Raw genomic sequence first — 21310 nt, forward strand, 5'->3', positions numbered from 1 at the left:
ATAGCAAAGACATGGGATCAACCTAGATGCCCATCAACAGTGGATTGGATAAAGAAACTATGGTACATATACATCATGGAAAACTACTCAGCCATTAAAAAAGAATAAAATAATGTCTTTTGCAGCAACATGGATGCAACCAGAGGCCATTATCCTAAGTGAATTAACACAGAAAAACCAAATACAGCACATTCTCACTTAGAAGTGGGAACTAAACACTGCGTATACACATGGATACAAAGATGGGAACAACAGACAGTGGGGCCTACTTCACAAGGGAAGGTGGGAAGAGAACGTATTAGCCTATTCTCACACTGCTATAAGGACATACCCGAGACTGGGTAATACATAAGGAAAGAAGTTTAATTGACTCACAGTTCTGCATGGCTGAGGAAGTCTCAGGAAATAATCATGTCAGAAGGCACCTCTTCACAGGGCGGCAGGAGAGAGACAGAATGCCAGCAGAGACAATGCCAGATGTTTATAAAACCATCAGATCTCATGAGAACTCACTCACTGTTAGAAGAACAGGATGGGGGAAACTGCCCCCATGATTCCAATTACCTCCTCCCACTGGGTCCCTCCCACGACACGTGGGGATTACAGAATTACAATTCAAGATGAGATTTGGGTGGGGACACAAAGACAAACCATATCAGAGGGTGAGGATCAAAAAACTACCTATTGGGTACTATGCTCACTACCTGGCTGACAAAATCATTTGTACACCAAACCCCAGCAGCACACAATTTACCCATGTAACAAACCTGCACATGTACCCCCAACCCTAAAATAAAAGTTGAAAAAAAAAAAAAAAAAACAGAAACTAATGAAAGATTACATGAAAAAAGAACAAGTCAGTTAAAGAAAGCAAAGAAAAGGTATAGACATGAAAAACAGTATAAGTGATAATCAAAACTTGATAAATTTAAAAAAAACTATGATGGGAAATGACTTTGCACCCATTAGGATGGTTACTATTATTAAAAAAAAAAAAAAAAAAAAAAAAAAAAACAAGGCCAGACACGGTGGCTCACATTTGTAATCCCAGCACTTTGGGAGGCCGAGGTGGGTGGATCATGAGGTCAAGAGATCGAGACCATCCTGGCCAACATGGTGAAACCCCATCTCTACTAAAAATACAAAACTTAGCTGGGCATGGTGATGCACGCCTGTAGTCCCAGCTACTTGGGAGGCTGAGGCAGGAGAATCACTTGAACCCGGGAGGCAGAGGTTGCTGTGAGCCAAGATTGTGCCACTGCACTCCAGCCTGGTGACACAGCGAGACTCCATCTCAAAAAAAAAAAAAATCCAGATAAAAAGTATTGCCAAGGATGAAGAGAAACTGGAATCCTTGGCACTGCCAGTGGGAACATAAAATAGTACAGTCACTGTGGAAAACAGTAGGGCAATTCCTCAAAAATTAAACACAGAATTACTGTGTGATCTACCAATTCCACTTCTGGGTATATAAACAATTGCAAAAAGATGGAAACAACCCAAATGCCTATCAACGGATGAATAAACAAAATGTAGTATAGGATGAGTGTCCCTTATCTGAAATGCTTGGGACCAGAAGTGTTTCAGATTTTGAAATTATTTGGATTTCTTAATATTTGCATTATACTTTCCAGTTGAGCATCCCTAATCTGAAAATTCAAAACTGGAAATGCTCCAACGTGCATTTCCTTTAAGTGTCATTTCGGCACTCGAAAAGTGTCAGATTGTGGAGCCTTTTAGATTTTGGATTTTCAGAATTGGAGTGTTCATATATACAGACAATAGATTATTATTAAGTCTTAAAAAGGAATGAAATGTTGATACATGTTACAACATGGATGAGCCTTGAGAACATTATATTAAGTGAAATAAGCCAGTAACAAAAAGACAAACACTGTATGATTCTACTTATATGAGTTACCTAGGGACCTCAAATTCATAGAGACAGAAAGTAGAAAGGTGGCTGTCAGGGGCTGGGAGAAGGGGAGAATGAGGAGTTATTGTTTAATGACTATAAAGTTTCAATTTGGGAGATGGGTAATGGTGATGATGGTACAACAATACGAATGTACTTATGCCACTGAATTGTACACTCAGAACATAGTTAAAATGGTAAAATTTTTTCCTTTTTTTTTTTTTTTTCCAGAAATGAAGTACTCACTCTGTTGCCTAGGCTTGAGTGCAGTGGCATGATCACAGCTCTCTGTACCTTGACCTCCCAGTCTCAAGCAATCCTCCTGCCTCAGCCTCCCAAGTAGCTGGGACTACAGGCACATGCCACCATGCCCAGCTATTTTTTTTTTTTTTCTTGTACAAACAGGATTTCCCTATGTTGCCCAGGCTGGTCTCAAACTCCTGGGCTCCAGTGATCCTCCTGCTTTGGCCTTCCCAAATGCTGGGATTACAGGCATGAGCCACCACACCTGGCCTAAAATAAATTTTATGTTATATATACATATCACCATCAAAAAAAGTAAATTAGACAAAGCTGAGGAAAGAATTAGTGTACTGAAAGGATAACACTGAGAAATTCTACCCAAATAAAACCTAAAAAGATGTGGAAAATATGAAAGAAGGCTTAAAAGACACAAAGGGTAAACTAAGAAGGTCTAACACAGGTCTAATAAGAGTTCCACTTGGAGAAAACAGCAAGGATAAGAGAAAAGCAATATTCAAAATAAGCATGACCAAGAATTATACAGAAGTGAAGGCAGATGGAGTGTTCAAAGCGAAAAGTCCTAAGCAAGATAAATGGAAAATCATGTATGCATGGAGACATATTTTAATGAAACCGCAGGGCACCACAGAAAAGGAAAATATTTTAAAACAAACTAGAGAAAAAAATTAAAAGAAATCATAATTAACTGATATCAGACTTCTCAACAATGATAGAAGCCGAATAAGAATTAAGCAATACTGGCAAAGTGCTAATAAAAACTAGCAGTCAACCTGTATTTTATATGCAGCCAAATTACTATTCAAAATAAAGTGAAATCATGACATTTTCAAACGTATGCACACAGTCACAGACTGTCACTGAAAATACTGAAAAACTTACTTCAATAAAAAGGAGACTGAACCTAAATATTTATCATTCAATAAAAGGAAGTATATTCAAACTTAATAGCAGTTAAGGTGAATGAACTAGGCAAATCTCAAATCCTGCTATATATACTAATCATGCTATATATAAAATTCTTTAAATTATTTAAAGATAATATTTATATATAAAGATACAGCTTTATAAATAATATACAACAACTGGATGGGAAGAATATACACCAGCTGTGTAAGAGTGGCTAGGCTATGCTGGTGGGAGAAGAGAAAGCAAAGAAGCTTCCTCTATAACTAGTATTTTTCTTTGAATAAAAATGAATCAGAAGTAAAAATGGCAAAATGTAAACACTTATTATAACCAAATAGTACTTACAAGAGTGTTAAATACAAAAGGACACTTTCAAGAGTACGCAGTAATATATATACTTTTAAATATTGTCCTATGTACAGTGTTCTTTTCAATATTGAAATATTTAATATTCTATGCTGAAATATTTTATCATTTAAGAAGACAGAAAAATAAATATTTCAAAAGAAAAGAAAAATAAAAAATAACATTAAAAAAAACAGAATTAAAACCATAAAATCTAGGCCACAACAACCTAAAAGGTTTCCTGGGCATAGAAATCACTTTTGAATACCTGGAAATCAATTTTCCTTATAATTTTTCCATCATTAATACAACATAAATGTAATTCTTAATAAAACTTCAAATAAAGCAATTCAATTGCTGGACTTACTAAGTTAAGAGAATTTAATAGTACAAATTTTCCAGAATTGACTAGTAATTATCATCTACTTTTATGGGATATAGTTCTTATATCTCATACAAAAGGTCAAGTAAATTAAGTTTGAAGGTATAACAAGAGAGTCTACTATTTGTTCTCAAAAACAAAACATACGAAAAAACAAAACCTCACCTTCGTGATTTCCAGACAGCAGTGGTAAGTTTCAGCTTTCACTCGTGGCAATGGGTGAGACAACATATGGAGAAGCACCTTCTGACTTTCTCCTTGTAGTAATGGACTGGCCTGAGCAGATTTCCAGCTGGTGAAAAGGTAAAACAACCAAGACATGTGAGGCAAGTAAGTTAGTAAGCAAAAGACTGCAAAGCATACTGGAAGGGATTTCTTCCTACTCCAACTCCTCAAACTGAGATCTTATTAAAAATAACCAATACTAGCAAGTACTCACCTAAGCACTTATTTGTTTCAGGGCAGAGGAGGTTCTGTCTTAAAGAGTATTTTTAAAAACCCAAAATGTCTTTAAAATCCCCTACTCAGTTAATGATTATCACATCACAGAATTTATTCTTTCCAAAAGCAATAAAGACACTAAGTTCTAAATAGAAATTTGCTGATGTCCTCAAAATAAATTAACCAATACACAGTCTTTTCTAAAAATCCACATAAGAAAAAGGTACAAAGTAATAAAAGTTACAAAACTCTCAGTTTAAGTTATTAATTAAAACTTTAAAGATAAATAAACAATGTGTGTGAATAGTCTGGATGGATACCAAAAACAAATGTATAAAAATCCAAGGATTATTCATTTTGATTGTAGGCATGACATTTTTGAAGTTTAATCTTGAATATAACAGTTAAGTATCCTAATGCAGCTGTACATATACCCTTTAAAAATCAGACACATATAAAAGCAATTAAACTAAAAAATAATAACAAAGATATACAGTCAGTTTCACTTTCACTGTTTCTAAGTTTACACACACCCTAAGTGTCCAATAATAACGTAATCACATTAAGAAAGAAAATATTACATCTTTGAACAAATGCTGATGATTTCCTTTATTAGCGGGAAATGCTGATGATAGGAAAAGCTACGCAAGGCTTGGTCTGCCAGCTCCACTAATTCTAAGAGATTCTTCTCTCCCTACAAAAGAAGCAGAATGGAACAATAAATGTCAAGTTCATGTGCAATGATATTCTCAACAGCTAACTAAGCAGCTTCAAGAAATTAGACCATTCAGAGACCATGAGACTGTTTACATTTGTTTAAGTCCACTTTCTCATCAAGCAACCTAAAAATGTCAGCCGAGGTGGAGAAATGTAGGAAAATTCCCTAGCTAAATGCCACATGAGACTTTCTATTATTTAACTCTGAGTAAGCTTAAAGTTACAATCAAGTTGCCTGGTTCTTTGATTACTTCTTTGTAGCTCTACCTCCCCTAATAAAAGTAGGGCTAATGTATTTATTTTATTATAAACCTGCCTCTTGTAGCAGCCTGACCACTAGGAACACACAGGACATTGAACACATGTGTGATTAACTGACCACACAAAATGCCACAGAGGCCAGACCCAGTGGCTCCCAGCACTTCGGGAGGCCGAGGCGGGCAGATCACTTGAGGTCAGGAGTTCAAGACTAACCTGGCCAACATGGCGAAACCCCGTCTCTACTAAAAATACAAAAAATTAGCTGGTTGTGGTGGCACGAGCCTGTAATCCCAGCTACTTGAGAGGCTGAGGCGGGAGGTGGAGCTTGCAGTGCGCCAAGACTGCACCACTGCACTCCAGCCTGGGAGACAGAGTGAGATTTCGTCTCAAAAAAAAAAAAAAGCCACAGAAATACTTCAACTTAAAGACACAATTCAAAATTCTATCACAGAGAAAACAAGAAGACAGTGGTACTAACATGGCAAAAGGAAAGGGGAAAAAAAACAAACTACAGTGGTAAGTAAGAAAAATCATAAATATCAAGTTCAAGGCCAGGCACGGTGGCTAACACCTTTAATCCTAGCATTTTGGGAGGCCAAGGTGGGAGGACAGCTTGACGCCAGGAGTTCAAGACCAGCCTGGGCAACACAGTGAGACCTCATCTCTACAAAACAATTTAAATATTAGCCAGGTGTGGTAGCATGTGCCTATAGTACTAGTTGCTTAGGAGGCCAAGGCAGATGGATTGCTGGAGCCCAAGAGATCAAGGCTGTAGCCTAGGCAACTGAGAAGGCTGTCAAAAAAAAAAAAAATTCAAAGAAAATAAATAGGTTCAGATAGATTCTACTGTAGGCACCAAAATGAGTAAGAATTTTATCCCTAATTCTTCAAGATCTTCAGGATCCATGTCCTTATTTTCAAACAATAAACAACTCTTGTATCAATGTCTGTCTCTAAGACCCATTAACCCTTTCATTGATAACATACTAATATTCTAATAGTATTTTTAAAAGGGATAAATACCGACACATAATTATTGCTGTAACACTGCCATAAAGTCATCCTAATACATTATAAACAATGTAGTTCATCACTGTACTTAATATATTTCAAAAATCAGCCTTTATATATATGTAAGAACTATCTATAAAATATTGAGGCAAAAATATGTCTACAAGTAAGCACTAAAATAGCCCTTATAATTTTGGTTACATCAACTGTCATTCAGTTCATATCAGTAAGTCACTTAATAGAGGTACTCATTATTAAATATTAAGACATTTGTAATAACCACTGCTTTTTTGTAAATCACTGATGTTAGGAATATACACCATTAATTAAAGTCTTCGTTTTACTTCTATACAAATCATATCCTTACTTTAACCTGTTAAATAACAGGTTATGTATAATTGACCCACTCAGGAATAATGTATCCCACCTGTGACAATTTAATTATATGTCCATCAATTTGAAAAGTATAGATTAAATTTTCAAAATATGTCAAAGGGATTTAAAAGAGATATTAAAAAAGCTTTTTACCTCTTTCCCAATATCAGACAGGAAGTTACAGGTGCATTCAATTGAATAAACGGCCTCTGCAGTTCGTTTATAAATACTGTAGTTTTCAGAATTCAGCTGTTCCAAATAGGCCACAACAGCTTCATGAATATTTGGATATTCCAAAGAAATAGGCATGTCCAAAGAAAGGAGAAATAATGCTGTTGACATAGGCTCTGATAAAAACTCGCTTGCCTTGGTGAATTAAAAAAACAAAAAAATTAAAACTTTGTTTAAAAAAAACTTATTTTAGAGAAACATAGTGGGCTATAGTCTTAATCTAATCCAACTTCCTTTTTAGCAATTCTTTGTCAAAAAACTGAAACTTTTTCCAAAGAAAATCCCATTTCCCAACACATCATCTACCTCTATCTCTGTCTTTTTTCAATACAAAATGTCTCAAGTCCAAATATCAACTCTTTCTCAAAGCCTAAGATACTAACTACTTTCTTCTTCCCCAAACCAACTTCTTCTCTCCTTGAGCCCTGCACCTTGTATATACCTCTGCTATTGAACTAAGGCATGAGGCCTTTTTCTCTAAGTATTTTCTGTACATGTACGCAAATCTCCCCAATAACCTGATAAACTGAAGACAAGAACACTTCCCCATCCCATAGCTGAACATGACAGAGCTTATTAATGACATATTAATAACACGAAATCAAGTATAGCTATAGATTGATTTGAACAGAAACGAATTTTTTTCTTTGGTTTTGTCTTTTAGAGGGGATAGTGGAAATCCAATATAATATTTTAAATAGTTCTAAAATACAGAAGATAGCCCCTTAATTAGTATAAAATCAATATGCCCAAATGAAATATTATACACATTATAACCTTAAATCAATAGATTTAAAACTGAAAGAATTATGGTTTTTAAAAAAATGGTTCTAGTTTTGTGACAGGATTCTAAATATCAATTAAAGGAATAAAAAGGACTAAAAATTTGACGTTCAGAGAAAATCTCTTGACAAGACTCACTATTACGGCTGAAATGCTGTCTTTACAAAAGTGGGTTTGGTCATGATTTATTTCATGGATAACCTATTTCAAGGATAATCATTAACTACCTGAAAGTCTAAGAGCTGAATCAGCTAAACAACGATACCTTTAAATGAATATAGTTGCTAAATGAAGATCAGAAACTACAGAAATCAAAATTTTAGATTACACAGACATGACAAACCTCCAGATTAGTAAAACAGCAGCTATTAGAAAGTAAAGAGAAATTTCATTATTCTGTGAAGAACTTTCCTTTTTTTTGTGGGCGGGGGAGGAAAAAGAGAAACTCAATTATCTGCTCACCTATTATTCACTCACTCGGTGAATATTAATTAGGCCTTACTATGTTCCTCCACTATATGCCAGGTACCTCTCCAGTCCTGGGAACCCAGCAGAGAGCAAAATACAACCTCTGCCCGCATGAAGCTCACATCCCACTGAAGAAAGTAGAGTGTAAATCGATATACTTCCTAAGATGTTAGGTGTGGCTAAAAAGTGTTTTAAAACAGGATAGGAAAGATGAAGAGGAACAGAGAAGTAATGGGGAGTGGAGGCAGGGAACTGCTACTTCTCCAAAGTAGTAGAGGAAGGCCTCGCTAATAAGATGACATTTAAGTAGAACCCTGGAAGGGTCAGGAGCCACGTGGCTATCTGAGGGAAAGCATTTATAGAAGAGGGAAGAGCAATTACAAAAACTATTATTTGGTAGCAAGAAAGCCAGTGGAGCTGGTTCTGAGGGATGGAGTCAGAAAGGAGTGGTGGGCCAGATCAGTTAAGGCTTTGGGTCGTCATAAGGAATTGTCCTCTGCTGAAAGCCACTGGAACATTTTAAACAAGTATCAAAATTGGTCTGTAGAGAACTGATGGTAATGTGCAAAAGTGGAAGCTAAGAGACAGAGGACTTTACTGCAGTAATCCAGGCAGGACAGAATGGTGGGCTTAACTCAGGTATTCAGATTCTGTATAGGTATTCAAGGGAGAAATGACAAATTTTGCTCAGGGATTATATCCACATATGAGCAAAAGAAAGGAATCAAGGCTGACTCTAAGGTTTTTGCCTGATCAACGATCAACTTGAACAACAAAGTTGACATTTACCGAGACAGGCAAGACTATAGGAAGAACATATTTGGAAGGGGAAACAAAGAATGAAGTTTGGGACATGTTCAGTTGGAGACATTTATTGTCACCCAAGTGAAGACATCAAAAAGGACACTGGATACAGGTAAGTTCAGAGTTCAGGTTATATGTCTGGTCTGGAAGTATAAATTTGGCAGGCATCAACAAATAGATGGCATTTAACAATCACAAATGGGATATATTTCATGAGGGCTACTGTCAGTCCTGGGGTTCCACTCCTGAAGAGTTAGGAAGATAAAGAGAAATTAGCAAAGGCGATTTACACTGTGCTAAGAGAGTAAATCCTAATGGATCTAACTCTAAAGGCACTGTGTTCTAGTTTAAGAGAGTTCTCTCTGACTCTAGTCAGAAAAATAACAGCTGCTGTGAGAATTAAACAAGCATTAAGCAGAGCATATGGCATATAGCACTCAATAAATATTAATTTCCTTTTCTCGCTTCACCACAAAGGAATTCCAATGTTTCACCCTGCGTACTTGTATTTGAAACTCTTGCTATCTCAACAACTCAAAGCCCCATGCTAATGTCATTAGCTAATCTTTACATGGCCCAATGGACTAATCACAATTTACACCCCTAATCTAAGATAGCTGTCCTGCATATATAAGCATTAGTCACATGCCATCAGAACTAAAAGTGAAGATGTTTCAGTGCAAATCCATCACCCCATTAGATAAAAAATAATCAGCAACATCACCTCATGTGCATTGGGAGGAGGGGCTATAAATGTTTCCTGTAAACTAGCCACTCAGCAGCCATGGCATAATTCTATGAGTCTGTTAGAAATGCCGGCTCTCAGGCCCTACCCTTTACCTGATGAATCAGAATATGCAAGATGTGATTAACAATATCTCTAAGTGATCTGTTTGAACATTACCGTTTGAAAAGCACTGCTCTCAGTCACTCAACTGGCTTCACCAGGTCATTAGATCTTTTTATATACCTCCCTGAAAAGCTAAAGACCTTGTGTTACAAATTCTTCCTTAGCCTTGGTAAGCATCACTAGCTAAGAGTAACAGCAGTTCCTAGAATGCTCTGTGCTTCTGCTTCCAGAACAGGGCTAGTACTTTTAGCTCTTACTTCCCAGATGTTTCCCCAAATGAAATTACCTTCATTTGTTTTACCAATTTAGTTTACTCAACCACAATATTTTTCAGAAGATTACCAACGTATCATTTTAACCTATACATGAGTATTCTCCAAAATCATTTAATATCAACAAATATCAGTTTCAAAACAGGCATCAGAGGACATTTTGTTAAACTTAGGAAATCTCTACATAGATTCATATTTATTTTCCAACATCCAAACTACCTACTTGGTCAGTGGCAACTCAAAAAAACCACTTTAAAGGCAAAAAGTTTCAGAGTCCAAATTCTACTTCAATTATTAGTGGGCTAGCAACAGACAGAGGGCAGCATAACCTTACATTTATATAAACCAAAGAAGAAATTTAACATCAATGAAATAGCATTTTTGTTTAGATCTCATTTTAAAGTACTTAGTCAATTAATCAAAACAAATATAATCATCTAAAAACAAATACCTTAATTACAATCTCCCACAATGATCAAAATTGTTTTAATAAAGTTCCAAGTTATATATTTAAAATAACTACCAAAAATTAGATAATTGATTTGTTTTTAAAAACGGAAACAATAAAACAATAACTACCTTTAAAAAAAAAAGCATGGAAAATTAACTTTACATTATTCTGGCACTAAGTAAAATAAATTACTGATTTCTTTTTGGTTCCTGTCCAAATAAGCACATAGATGAAAAAATACAATCAAAAACTACATGATGCAACTGATAGGATAAGTTTTCCATCAATACTTCGACCCATAGATAGATTGACCATTTGCAATACTTAATAGCAAGCAATTGTAGCACCACTAATTTTTCATTTATATAATATTAAGGAAGACACCCATATTTTAAATTCAATTCCTTTCTTAAGAGACTGGAATTCTTCCATTCTTGATGCTTATGCCTTGAAAAATTGTCACTCTTCAAAACAGAAAAGGACTTCAGAAACATAATGACTAGTGAATACAAGTTAAAAATTAAAAGTAACACAAGTGATGTTATTTTCCTTAAAGCAAAATACTATATTTAAAATGCAGTGTTTTATCCGTTTTCCTGGATCACCTGATAATACATTGTGTATATAAGTGATACTTAGAAAATGGAGTTTGGGCCAGGCGCGGTGGCTCATGCCTATAATCCCAGCACATTGGGAGGCCAAGGCAGGCAAAACAAGAGGTCAAGAGATCGAGACCATCCTGGCTAACATGGTGAAACACCATCTCTACTAAAAATACAAAAATTAGCCGGGCATGGTGGGGCACACCTGCAATCCCAGCTACTCGGGAGGCTGAGGCAGGAGAATGGCTTGAACCCAGGAGGCGGAGGTTGCAGTGAGCGGAGATCACGCCACTGAACTCCAGCCTGGTGACAGAGCAAGACTCCAACTCAAAAAAAAAAAAAAAAAAAAGAAAATAGAGTTTGGACTATATGCTCTACAGAATTCTAGGAAACAAAGCTGCAAATGTTTAATAACTAAGGGCAACAAAGAGGCATAAGGAATAGTTTTCTAGTTTTCATAATTTCTCCCATACCTGCATTTTAGTGTGTCACTCCTTTGTTTTGGTAATAAGTACACCACGAAACACTGATGTCTGAATGATCTGAGATATTTTTACCACTAACATTCAAATTCAGAGATAACCTCACGTTTAAAAATACAGTCAGTAAGAAGATTTTAAAGAAATATTTACACATATTAAAATCACTTTTAACAGACTTCATACAATGGAATATTTTGTAATAAAAGTTAACAAATTAATGCTATAGGCAACAATAGTTATGAACCTCAAGAAGGAGTTGAGAGAGTACATACTTTATAATTTCATTTAAACAACATTCAAAACAGGCCAATTGATCTATAGTGACAGAAGTCAGAAAGGAGTGTGGCTTGGAGAAGGAGGGAGAGGTAACAGAGAAGGGGTCTTTGGAATGCTGGTAACATTCTATTTTCTGTTATGGGGGTGGTCACTTTTTAAAGACAGATGCATTCACTTAGTAGAAAAAGCACTGAACTATGTACTTTTCTGAATGTATATGAAAGTTTAAAAAAAAAAAAAAAAGCCTTTACAGAATTAATGTTTTTTTCTGATAGCATTTTAAAAATCATTTAAAAATTTAAGTGTTCTAGTTAAACTAACAGTGCACAATTTCAGAAACTGTAATTGGCAAACACACAGAAGAGACACCAGCCTTAGGCACTTTCAAAAAGTGCTTCTTTTTAGTAATTTCCCGGCCATATATTCTCACAATTATCTTTTCCGTGTACTACTCTTTTTATCCATTCTTTAGTTAAAAACAATGAAACTCGTGAAACTATAATATTTTTAAATTATGCTTATAATAAAAACATGTTTAAGCATTCAGCCTTTGAACTAGTAATGCCACTAGGAATTTAAGAATCCAAAATATGAGTAAACATGCGTAAGTAGCAATTCAGCATAGTGTTATTTATCAAAATACCAAAAAAAGAAAAAAAGAAACCTAAAAGCTTAATTTCTGGAATACTTGTGGAAATCATAGAACATCTTGCTGGTAAAATATTAGTACCCATTAAAATTTATGAAGTGTTTAATTAAATGGAAAATGTATGTTAGATAATAAGAAATGGTTAAAAAAAAAAAAAAGAGAATAAACAGGCCAGGTGCAGTGGCTCACGCGAGTACTCCCAGCACTTTGGGAGGCCGAGGCGGGCACATCACCTGAGGTCAGGAGTTCAAGATCAGCCTGGCAAACATGGCGAAATCTGGTCTCTACTAAAAAAAAAAAATACGAAAATTAGCTGGGTGTGGTGGCTCACACCTATAATCCCAGCTACTTGGGAGGCTGAGGAAGGAGAATCACTTGAACCTGGGAGGTGGAGGCTGCAGTGAGCCAAGAAAGTGCCACTGCACTCCAGCCTGGGTGACAGAGTGAGACTCCGTCTCAAAAACAAAACCAAAACCAAAAAAAAAAAAAAAAAAAAAGAATAAATAACTTTTATAGACGCTGTCAATTGGACTTAAAGCAGAAAAGAAAAAAGCCTCAAAACTAACTTGAAATTATAAATGAATTTTTATTCTTCTTTGTACATCAAAATGTTTTTTAAATGAACATTTTATTTTCTGAATAAAAGTTAAAAACTGAAAACACCAAAGCTTAAGAAAAGAAAGGTCTAGGTAAAATAGAAAAGTAGGAAAAAGAAAAGTACTAGAATAAAGACTAGCACAGAAGATAGTTTATTGCTATCATGGGCAGAAAAGCAGCTTTGTGAAAGACACCTAAAGCAACACGTTAATTAAAAAAACAACTTTCAAAAGACATACTAAGGTATGAAATCATATATTACGTAACTCAAACTACAAATATGGTTTAGACATAAAACAAGTTACCAAATATTAACTAGATGAATCAAATAAAAATCAGGATATTTAATCCTACCAAAGATGACTTCTGAAATTCTTTTGATCAGGTGCTAAAATAAAAATATTAAGCAATTAAGTTGCTGACAGAAAGGAAATAGTGGGATACCTTCAAGAGAAATGCATGGGACCAAAAAAAAAAAAAATCCCTTAAGTTACTAAAATATGCAACACACCAGCAATATACATAAAGTACAACAAATACAAGAAATAGGACAGTCCTCAGAAACCAACTTGACCAATACTTAGAAACTAAAGCACTGCTAACAGTATTTTGAATAGATAAAACAAGAAAAAGAAAAGGTTCCATGACATTAAGATATGCTAACTATAAAATAATTTCTGGAGCAGCAATGGAAACTATTGTTTGTATTCTGTGTGTCAAGGAACCTGGGAAATAGTGAATAAGTAAAGAACTCTGACAACACGTACCTAGCTGAAGAGAAGGAAAGGCTACTCTTGATATTAATGATAAGAACCAAGACACACACTGCAGAGATAAGATCAGTAGGCTTTCAATGCCCTCCAATCAATTAAAAGATACAAGTGTACCAATTATATATGTATATATGTATGGAAAAATGTATTCGTATATTAAGACATAATCTCTTCCCTCAAGTGATCCCAAAGTTATTAAAGAAACCAAAGAAGTCAAACATATACATGTATATGTATATGTATACGTAGATGTAGATGTAGATGTATATGTATATGTATATGTATATGTATATGTATATGTATATGTATATGTATATGTATAGATAACAGCCAAGTCTTGTCTTTTACAAAACTAAGTTCCATGAGGCCAGGGACTAATTCTAACCTATTCAGTTTTACATCCAGCAAGTAATACTGTTAGTCCACTGTAAGCAATCAATAAATTATTCACTGAATGAACAAGGAATAAACAAACGTACAGACTGCAATAAAACATATGCAATAAAAGCAACAGCACGATTAAAAAATAATTTCCCATCAAATGATTTGTCAAAATTGTTCAAAATGTTAGCCATTTCTCAATTTCTACATTTCCCATATAACCTGTTACACTTATTTTGAAAATGGCCTAAAGCACAATACCTTCACACCATGAAAAGAGCAGAAGAAATTTACAACAGAGCATTTATTTATAATAGTCTGTAAAGTACAAATGAGCAGCATTGCCTGCCTTACCTTTTCAACAGGGAGAAGCGTTTGTAGCAGTCGAACTGCAAACAGGGAAATGCTGATAAAGGCCATTCTGTGGTGCACAAGCATCACCTCTGGCTGCTCCAAACTGATACTACTTTTATGGTAGCACATGGTTTCTCCAAGGGCTCCCAACACCAGGAGTAGTTTCTCCTTCTGAAAACATTTACACAACATGAAACAGAAGAAAACAACCAATTTTAGGGGCCAGTATACAAAAGCCATGGAGAACAGTTTAAAATATTATCATTTTCATTAAATAGGAAAACAAATCAAAACAGAATTTATTCCTGTGAGAATTACCAATGCCTGCTGACATAATTTAAAAAGCACAAAAGAATGATAAACCACCTACATTTTAAAAATACAATAATCTTTTAAGTATTTAATATGATGAATCTTAACAATGAATAAATACAAACAATAGAATATAAAAGGTAAATGAACCATAATTTCCTCCTAGTTTCTAGTGCCTAATTGTTCCAATTTGGAACGTTAACACGCAAACCCCTCGTCAAGTATTTCTTATGCTTACTATACGCCTAACACAGTGGCAGGCATAATGAAAGAACAATGCATTAGTACAAGAGACATGATGATCTCTGTCCTCAAATTGATACCAACATTTCTAAAGAAATGCATCAAGGAAAGTCAAATAATTAAAAAACAATTAAATATCAAATTTTATAAACTCTCTTTAGATAATAAGGTTTCAAGTGGAAAATGTTATGCCATCATAAATTTAAATAATTTACTACTTCAAGAGAAATCATATCTTTTAAACTAAAAGGTATACATTAAATATGAAGAAGAATCTATGCATAGTAGACTGTCTTGTAAGTCACATCAATATAGACAAAGTATATCCCAGATATACTGATATGCCCCCATAAACTAGCGGGTAAAAGGACACCCTCAGTAAGAAAGAAAAAAAAAACTGAAGTACTTAACTTTCAATTTTCCATTGAAAACATATGAAAAGAAGAATGAGAAATACCTGCAAACTAAGAACAAAAATCTAATATACCAGAATTTCTTCAATTCAAGGATGACTATACAGGGAACAACTAAAAGGTATGAGGCCCAAAAAGCACAAGTCGTTGGCAAGAATATGGAAAAAATGGAAGCCTTGTGCATTGCTGGTGGGAATGTAAAATGGTGCAGCCACTGTGGAAAATATAATGGGCAGTTCCTCAAAAAAACACAGAATTATCATATGATCCAGCAAATTCCACTTCTGGGAATATACCCAAAAGAACTGAAAGCAGGGTCTCCAAAAGAGATGTATACACACCCAGGTTAACAGCAGCACTATTCACAACAGCCAAAAGGTGGAAACAATGAAAGTGGCCACTGACCAATAAATGCAGAAACAAAATGTGGTATGTTGTATATACATGCAAGAAAAGGAGGCCGGACGCGATGGCTCACGCCTGTAATCCCAGCAGGATTGAACTTGAACCCAGGAGGCAGAGGTTGCAGTGAGCCAAGATCACACCACTGCTCTCAGGCCTTGGCGACAGAGCAAGACTCTGTCTCAAAGAAAAAAAGAAAAGGGTGTTGAGCATTCAAAAGGAATTAAATTCTGATACATGCTACAACATGGGTGAACCTTTAAAACATAAAATAAAATAAGCCAAATACAAAAGTAAAATAAGCCAGATACAAAAAGACAAATATAGATTCCACTTATATGAGGTACCAGGAGCTGGGGATAGGCAGAATGAGGGGTTATTGTTTAATGGGTACAGAGATTCCATTTGAGATGATGAAAAAGTTGCATAGATAATGATAATGGTTGTACAACAATGTCACTGCAGAAGTAAAAGGAAGACAAAATGATCTACATAAGCAAAACAAGGCAAAAACTTTTGAGAGTAGACCAAGCATAACTATACTATAAAAAGTTTAAATTTTCCTATAAATGAAACAATTTCATATTGAAGTAAAAAACAAAAATTAAAAATTTATATATAAATCCTTAACTGTCATGGGATTATAAGTAAAAAAAGAAAATAAAATTCTAAAAAAACTTTGTGAATAAAAGGTTAAAAGTTCAATGAGTAGTAGAATTAAAACAAAAATTCTAAGCAATATGAATAGTGAATAATTTAGGGCAAAATAAATTAGAGTAATTTTCTACTGATGACATGTTTAACAATAAAGACTCAATAAAAATGAGTCTGTGATCTGAATAAAACAGGACATCAACAAAACATGTTATTGATATGGACTTATAAATTTTAACTCAGTCTTTTTGAACATAATTAAAATTAATAGACATAAACTTTGAACACTGCAAAGAATATAACTTCTCCTTAAGTTTCCAAGAAACACTGACAAAAATTAACTTTAAACATACTTTACCACAAAGAAAACTTCAGTGTATATTTAAGGCTATATTTCTCTGATCCCCAAGAAATAAAACTAAAAAGCAATAAATATTTAAACCGAAAGTAGAACAATCCTTACAAAATTAAAACAGAAAAAGTAAAACGCCCTCATACAAACAACTACTGGTCTAGAGAAAACAAATTGGAAATACAGTGACAGTCTTATTATATTGACAGGCAATTAATTCCTCCATACAGTATTTCTCCATGAAAACAGTACTAGGAACAACATCTCTATTATTCAAGTCTATTTACTTGTGAAATTGTTTAAAATAATCTTGCTAATTCTAATGATGAATTGAGTACTTCTCAAAATATCATAAAAAGAAAATACTTTAGGAATGAGTTTTACAGTTCTATTTCCAACATTTCTTCTAAGCATAAAAAAAATGGCTTTTTGTATTGTTTTGTTTTGTTTTGTAGGAAAGGATTGAAAAACAATAGTAACTGGCCCACATTTTTTAATTCTTTGGGCTAAAGATGTTTAAGCAACAACCCTAAAGGAGTTGACGGTGGGGGAAAAGACCCGTCCTCACAGGATACTCATAGTTTTTACAACAGAAGGTACAAAATTGAAATACCAGGTTAGCAAAATGTCTTAAATATTACCAATAAAACAGATTTTATAGTGTAAACACAACTTACACACTACCTCTGCAATATACAATGGGTTGTGGATTCTACAAGGCACCTGGAGTAAGAAACTGCAGCAGGCTCTGCCCCTCACATGCTTCCAATGGACCTTCCACACTGCAGCCAGTCACGGTTCCTCCTGCCAGTCTCACAAGGCACTTCTCTGATTAAAAGCAATCTCATCATGCCTTCAGAGGAAAGGCAGGACTACTCAGCATCATGCCAAAAGACCCCTACCAGCAGACCCTCATTTATCCCACCAGTCTCTCTCCACTATTTGCACCTCACATTTCATGGTCTAGGTGCTTGTGTTCCATCTACTACCAGGCCTATCCTTTATCTCCGATCAGAACTATCCATGCCTCTTTGTCATGGCTCATGGTTCATTCTCACGCTCCGCCAGATTAAAAAAAAAAAATGCTATTTTATTTGCTTGGCCAAATCCTACCTATAATTTAAAACTCAGTTCATTCAGATCTACAAAAAGCCCTCACTGAGGCCGGGCACGGTGGCTCATGCCTCTAATCCCAGCACTTTGGGAGGCCAAGGCAGGAGGATCACTTGAGCCCAGGAGTTTGAGACCAGCTTGGCCAACATGGCAAAACCCAGTCTCTGCTAAAAATACAAAAATTAGCCAGGAGTGGTGCCTTGAGCCCAGGAGTTTGAGACCAGCCTGGCCAATCTGGCAAAACCCAGTCTCTGCTAAAAATACAAAAATTAGCCAGGAGTGGTGGTACATGCCTGTAATCCCAGCTACTTGGGAGGCTGAGGCACGAAAATTGCTTCAATCCAGGAGGCGGAGGTTGCAGTGAGTCAAGATCACGCCACTGCCCTCCAGCCTGGACAACAGAGTGAGACTCTGAGTCTGGGGAAGAGAAAAAAAAAAAAAAAAAGCCCTCACTGACATCCCAAGTTCATAGTTCATAGTGTTTTCAAAGCACCATTGGCAATAAAACATAATGGCTATAAATACAAAACCACAAGTGACCCTGAAAAATAAACTGTGCCTCAGTTATGGAGTTTGCAGGGTCATGATAATTAAATGACCTCATAAATAGTGCTTAGTGTCTGACATACAGTAAGTGCTATATTTAAACTATCTTAGTTTACGTGTTATTCCTTTATGCTTATCTCTATTTTACTAATGTCATATTAAAAGTATCTATCACCCATAGGCATAAAAAGCACTACATCTTATTTGATATCCCAAGTGCCTAGCATATATTAATAACGGGCAATCAAGAAATGTGAGTTAAAATAACTGTCTTTGGAATGGTGGCAGCAGCAGGGAAGGTCTATGTAATTAGAGATCCCACTACACCAGTTATCAATTCACAATCTGGTCCAAATATCCTTAATGAGCCCTTACTGGATACAAAGATCTTTAGTTTCTTTCACAATCCTCTTAGCCCCTCTTGAAGTCCTACCAACATTCTACAATTCTACCAACATGCCTTGATGTTGAAGTTACCAGTTCACAGCAGGTCAGATGGGAATTTAGAAGCAATGAGTCATAAAGATGAAAAGACTGCTTTCCAATGACTGCAATGACAGGAATGACACAGAAGAAATGCGGAAAAGAAACAGAATATAGACCTAAGAGTCTAGGTTATCTGGCAGGAGGTGAAAGCTACTTTCTCCTTGCATCTTGAACCTGACTTAGCATGTAAATAGGGAAAAAATAGACCTGATTTGATGATGGAGGACTAGGGGGAATGACATATGACATACTTTAGGTCAGCATAACTAATTTTGGTGAAAATATTTTTTCTTTTATTTACTTCGAGTAATATAAAAATATTCAATTAAGGGGGGAAATTGAAATTCCCTTCCATGCTGAGTTACAGGGTTCCAGACATGATTGATGTTACTGATATTAGTACTGTGTGGAAATACCTAGAGATTTGATTATATATCCTCAGGTACTTAATTTCTAAATTGATAGCAACATTTATTATTTTGTTCCTTTAATGACTCAACAAAAATACTGCTTCCGTCTTTCTTTTGAAAACTGGCAAAAGTATGAACATTAAGAAATTTTACTTGTTTGCTTCTTTTAAAATATAGCCAAAGAAAAGAGACATTTATTCTTTTTAAACAAGTAAAAGTAAATCAAATATAATTTGAAGTACTTCTGTTTTATTTAGCATTTGTAACATACCAACTGGCACTTGTACAACAGAATTAACCTTTAAAGTAAAAATAATTCATTGAATCATAAAGTACCAGCAGCCAAAAGTTAAAAGTGAATGACTAACTTTTACAGATAAATGTTCTGGCCAAGAAAATTTAAGTTAATTTAAGAAACAACTGATAAAGCATTCCTCACACTTCAAAGGAAAAATTTACTTGTTGAAAATCTTCAATATGTGAAAAATCTCCTAAAAGTACTACAAAATAGTGTGATAACCTTAAGGACTAAAGAAAAACCAAGATTCAGAACTATTATCAGAAAATGAAAGACTTGAAAATACACCCATTTTAAAATATGCAGTTTGTTTCTCTTTTTAAGAGGCTCGTGTTATGAAAAAAATAAAAGTTTGGGTTTCTTTCTTACATGGGTATTGTTATTATGTAAATATCTGTAATTTATTTTTTTATATTCAGACCTCTATTCACAAGGATTTCAGACAGCCTGTAACAATGTTTAATTAAATATAGACCGACTTACATCAAAATAGCATAAAGAGAAAAAAAACTGATAAACGTAAGAGTCAATATATATTTTTATGACTAATAAATTTTGATTCTACTGCCCTGACAAGGCAGCAAAAGGGAAGGGAGGAAGGGAGAGGGGAAGGAAGAAAGGGAGAGGAAGGAAGACCAGACATTAGGAATTCACATTAACAGAAGAGATAGAATGCCAAATCTTCAAGGAAGGCAAGGTTATCAGATGACAATTTCAAAATGAAAGATATTAAATGACAAATGATTTATGATATTTTGAAATGTTAAAAAAGATATGTTTTCCAGTTACATGGAGACATACTCTGGTATTCCATAGATCTCTTAAATATTATGTTGTAATATAACATTCTTAAGGCTACTACTGTACACATGTTGATTACTCATGCAAAATATTACTTATCAAAACACTTCTTACAAAAAAAACAAAATTTAATTCCATATTTTCTAAAATTATCTACTCTACTGAAATACAAACAGCAAAAAACAAGGTATCCTGAACTCTCCACACTTTGAATGATTATTCTAAAGTTGATCCAGAATTTTCACTCTAGATAAATGTACATTTAAGCTCCTAATAACTCACAGATAGGCCAGTTGCTTAAATGACATAATTAAAAACTTTACGTAAAACTTCCAATTCTGGCCATGAAATAATAACAAGGACATCTCCTGTCCTTCCCCAGAAATCAACTAGAAAGTGGCATAGTGTCATTGCAGGACTGTGATGCCAGAGAGAAGGAAAATAAGCAATGAGAGTCCTACTATACCTGAAAACAATTACTGTACAGCAAACACAGGCAAGAGAAATCCAAAGAGTCTGACAGTCTCGATGACTTTAGGAGATGAAGATGCCTGTGGAAGCTGACATGGTTAGGAATTGTGGGAGAGCTATGCAAAGAAAGAATTTCAGAGACCTAAACAAGTTTCCACCCAGACCATGCTGAGATTAGGTGGCTTAGATTATAGGTAGATACTCTGTAAATACAGGCCA

The 21310-nt window shown here is 35.0% G+C and overlaps 1 protein-coding gene across 18 annotated transcripts in view, besides 1 other annotated feature; it reads right to left on the minus strand.

Moving 5' to 3' along the window:
* RTTN (rotatin) overlaps positions 1-21310 on the minus strand; it is a 202657-nt gene that overhangs the window by 159054 nt on the left and 22293 nt on the right. For 16 of the 18 annotated variants that reach the window (XR_430072.4, XR_007066140.1, XM_047437468.1 and 13 more), the window contains 4 exons: positions 14591-14761; positions 6771-6983; positions 4835-4947; positions 3978-4104 (listed from right to left, as the gene is read on the minus strand). Coding sequence is in view for 15 of the 18 variants with exons in the window: in XM_047437468.1 (XP_047293424.1) it covers positions 3978-4104; positions 4835-4947; positions 6771-6983; positions 14591-14761 (624 nt within the window). In the remaining 3 variants the exon portion in view is untranslated. Of the gene's footprint in view, positions 1-3977; positions 4105-4834; positions 4948-6770; positions 6984-11832; positions 12063-14590; positions 14762-21310 lie in introns of those variants that run through there. The other 2 variants (NM_001318520.2, XM_011525906.3) reach the window with 2 other exon arrangements.
* Positions 4124-4253: an enhancer, noted in NCBI's record as "active region_13482". NCBI's record gives its function as "activates an Ori minimal core promoter by ATAC-STARR-seq in GM12878 lymphoblastoid cells {active_cell/tissue: GM12878}" and the evidence as "EXISTENCE:reporter gene assay evidence [ECO:0000049][PMID:35858748]".

This window comes from Homo sapiens, chromosome 18 (genome assembly GCF_000001405.40).
Source record: "Homo sapiens chromosome 18, GRCh38.p14 Primary Assembly".
Classification (NCBI taxonomy): Eukaryota; Metazoa; Chordata; class Mammalia; order Primates; family Hominidae; genus Homo; species Homo sapiens.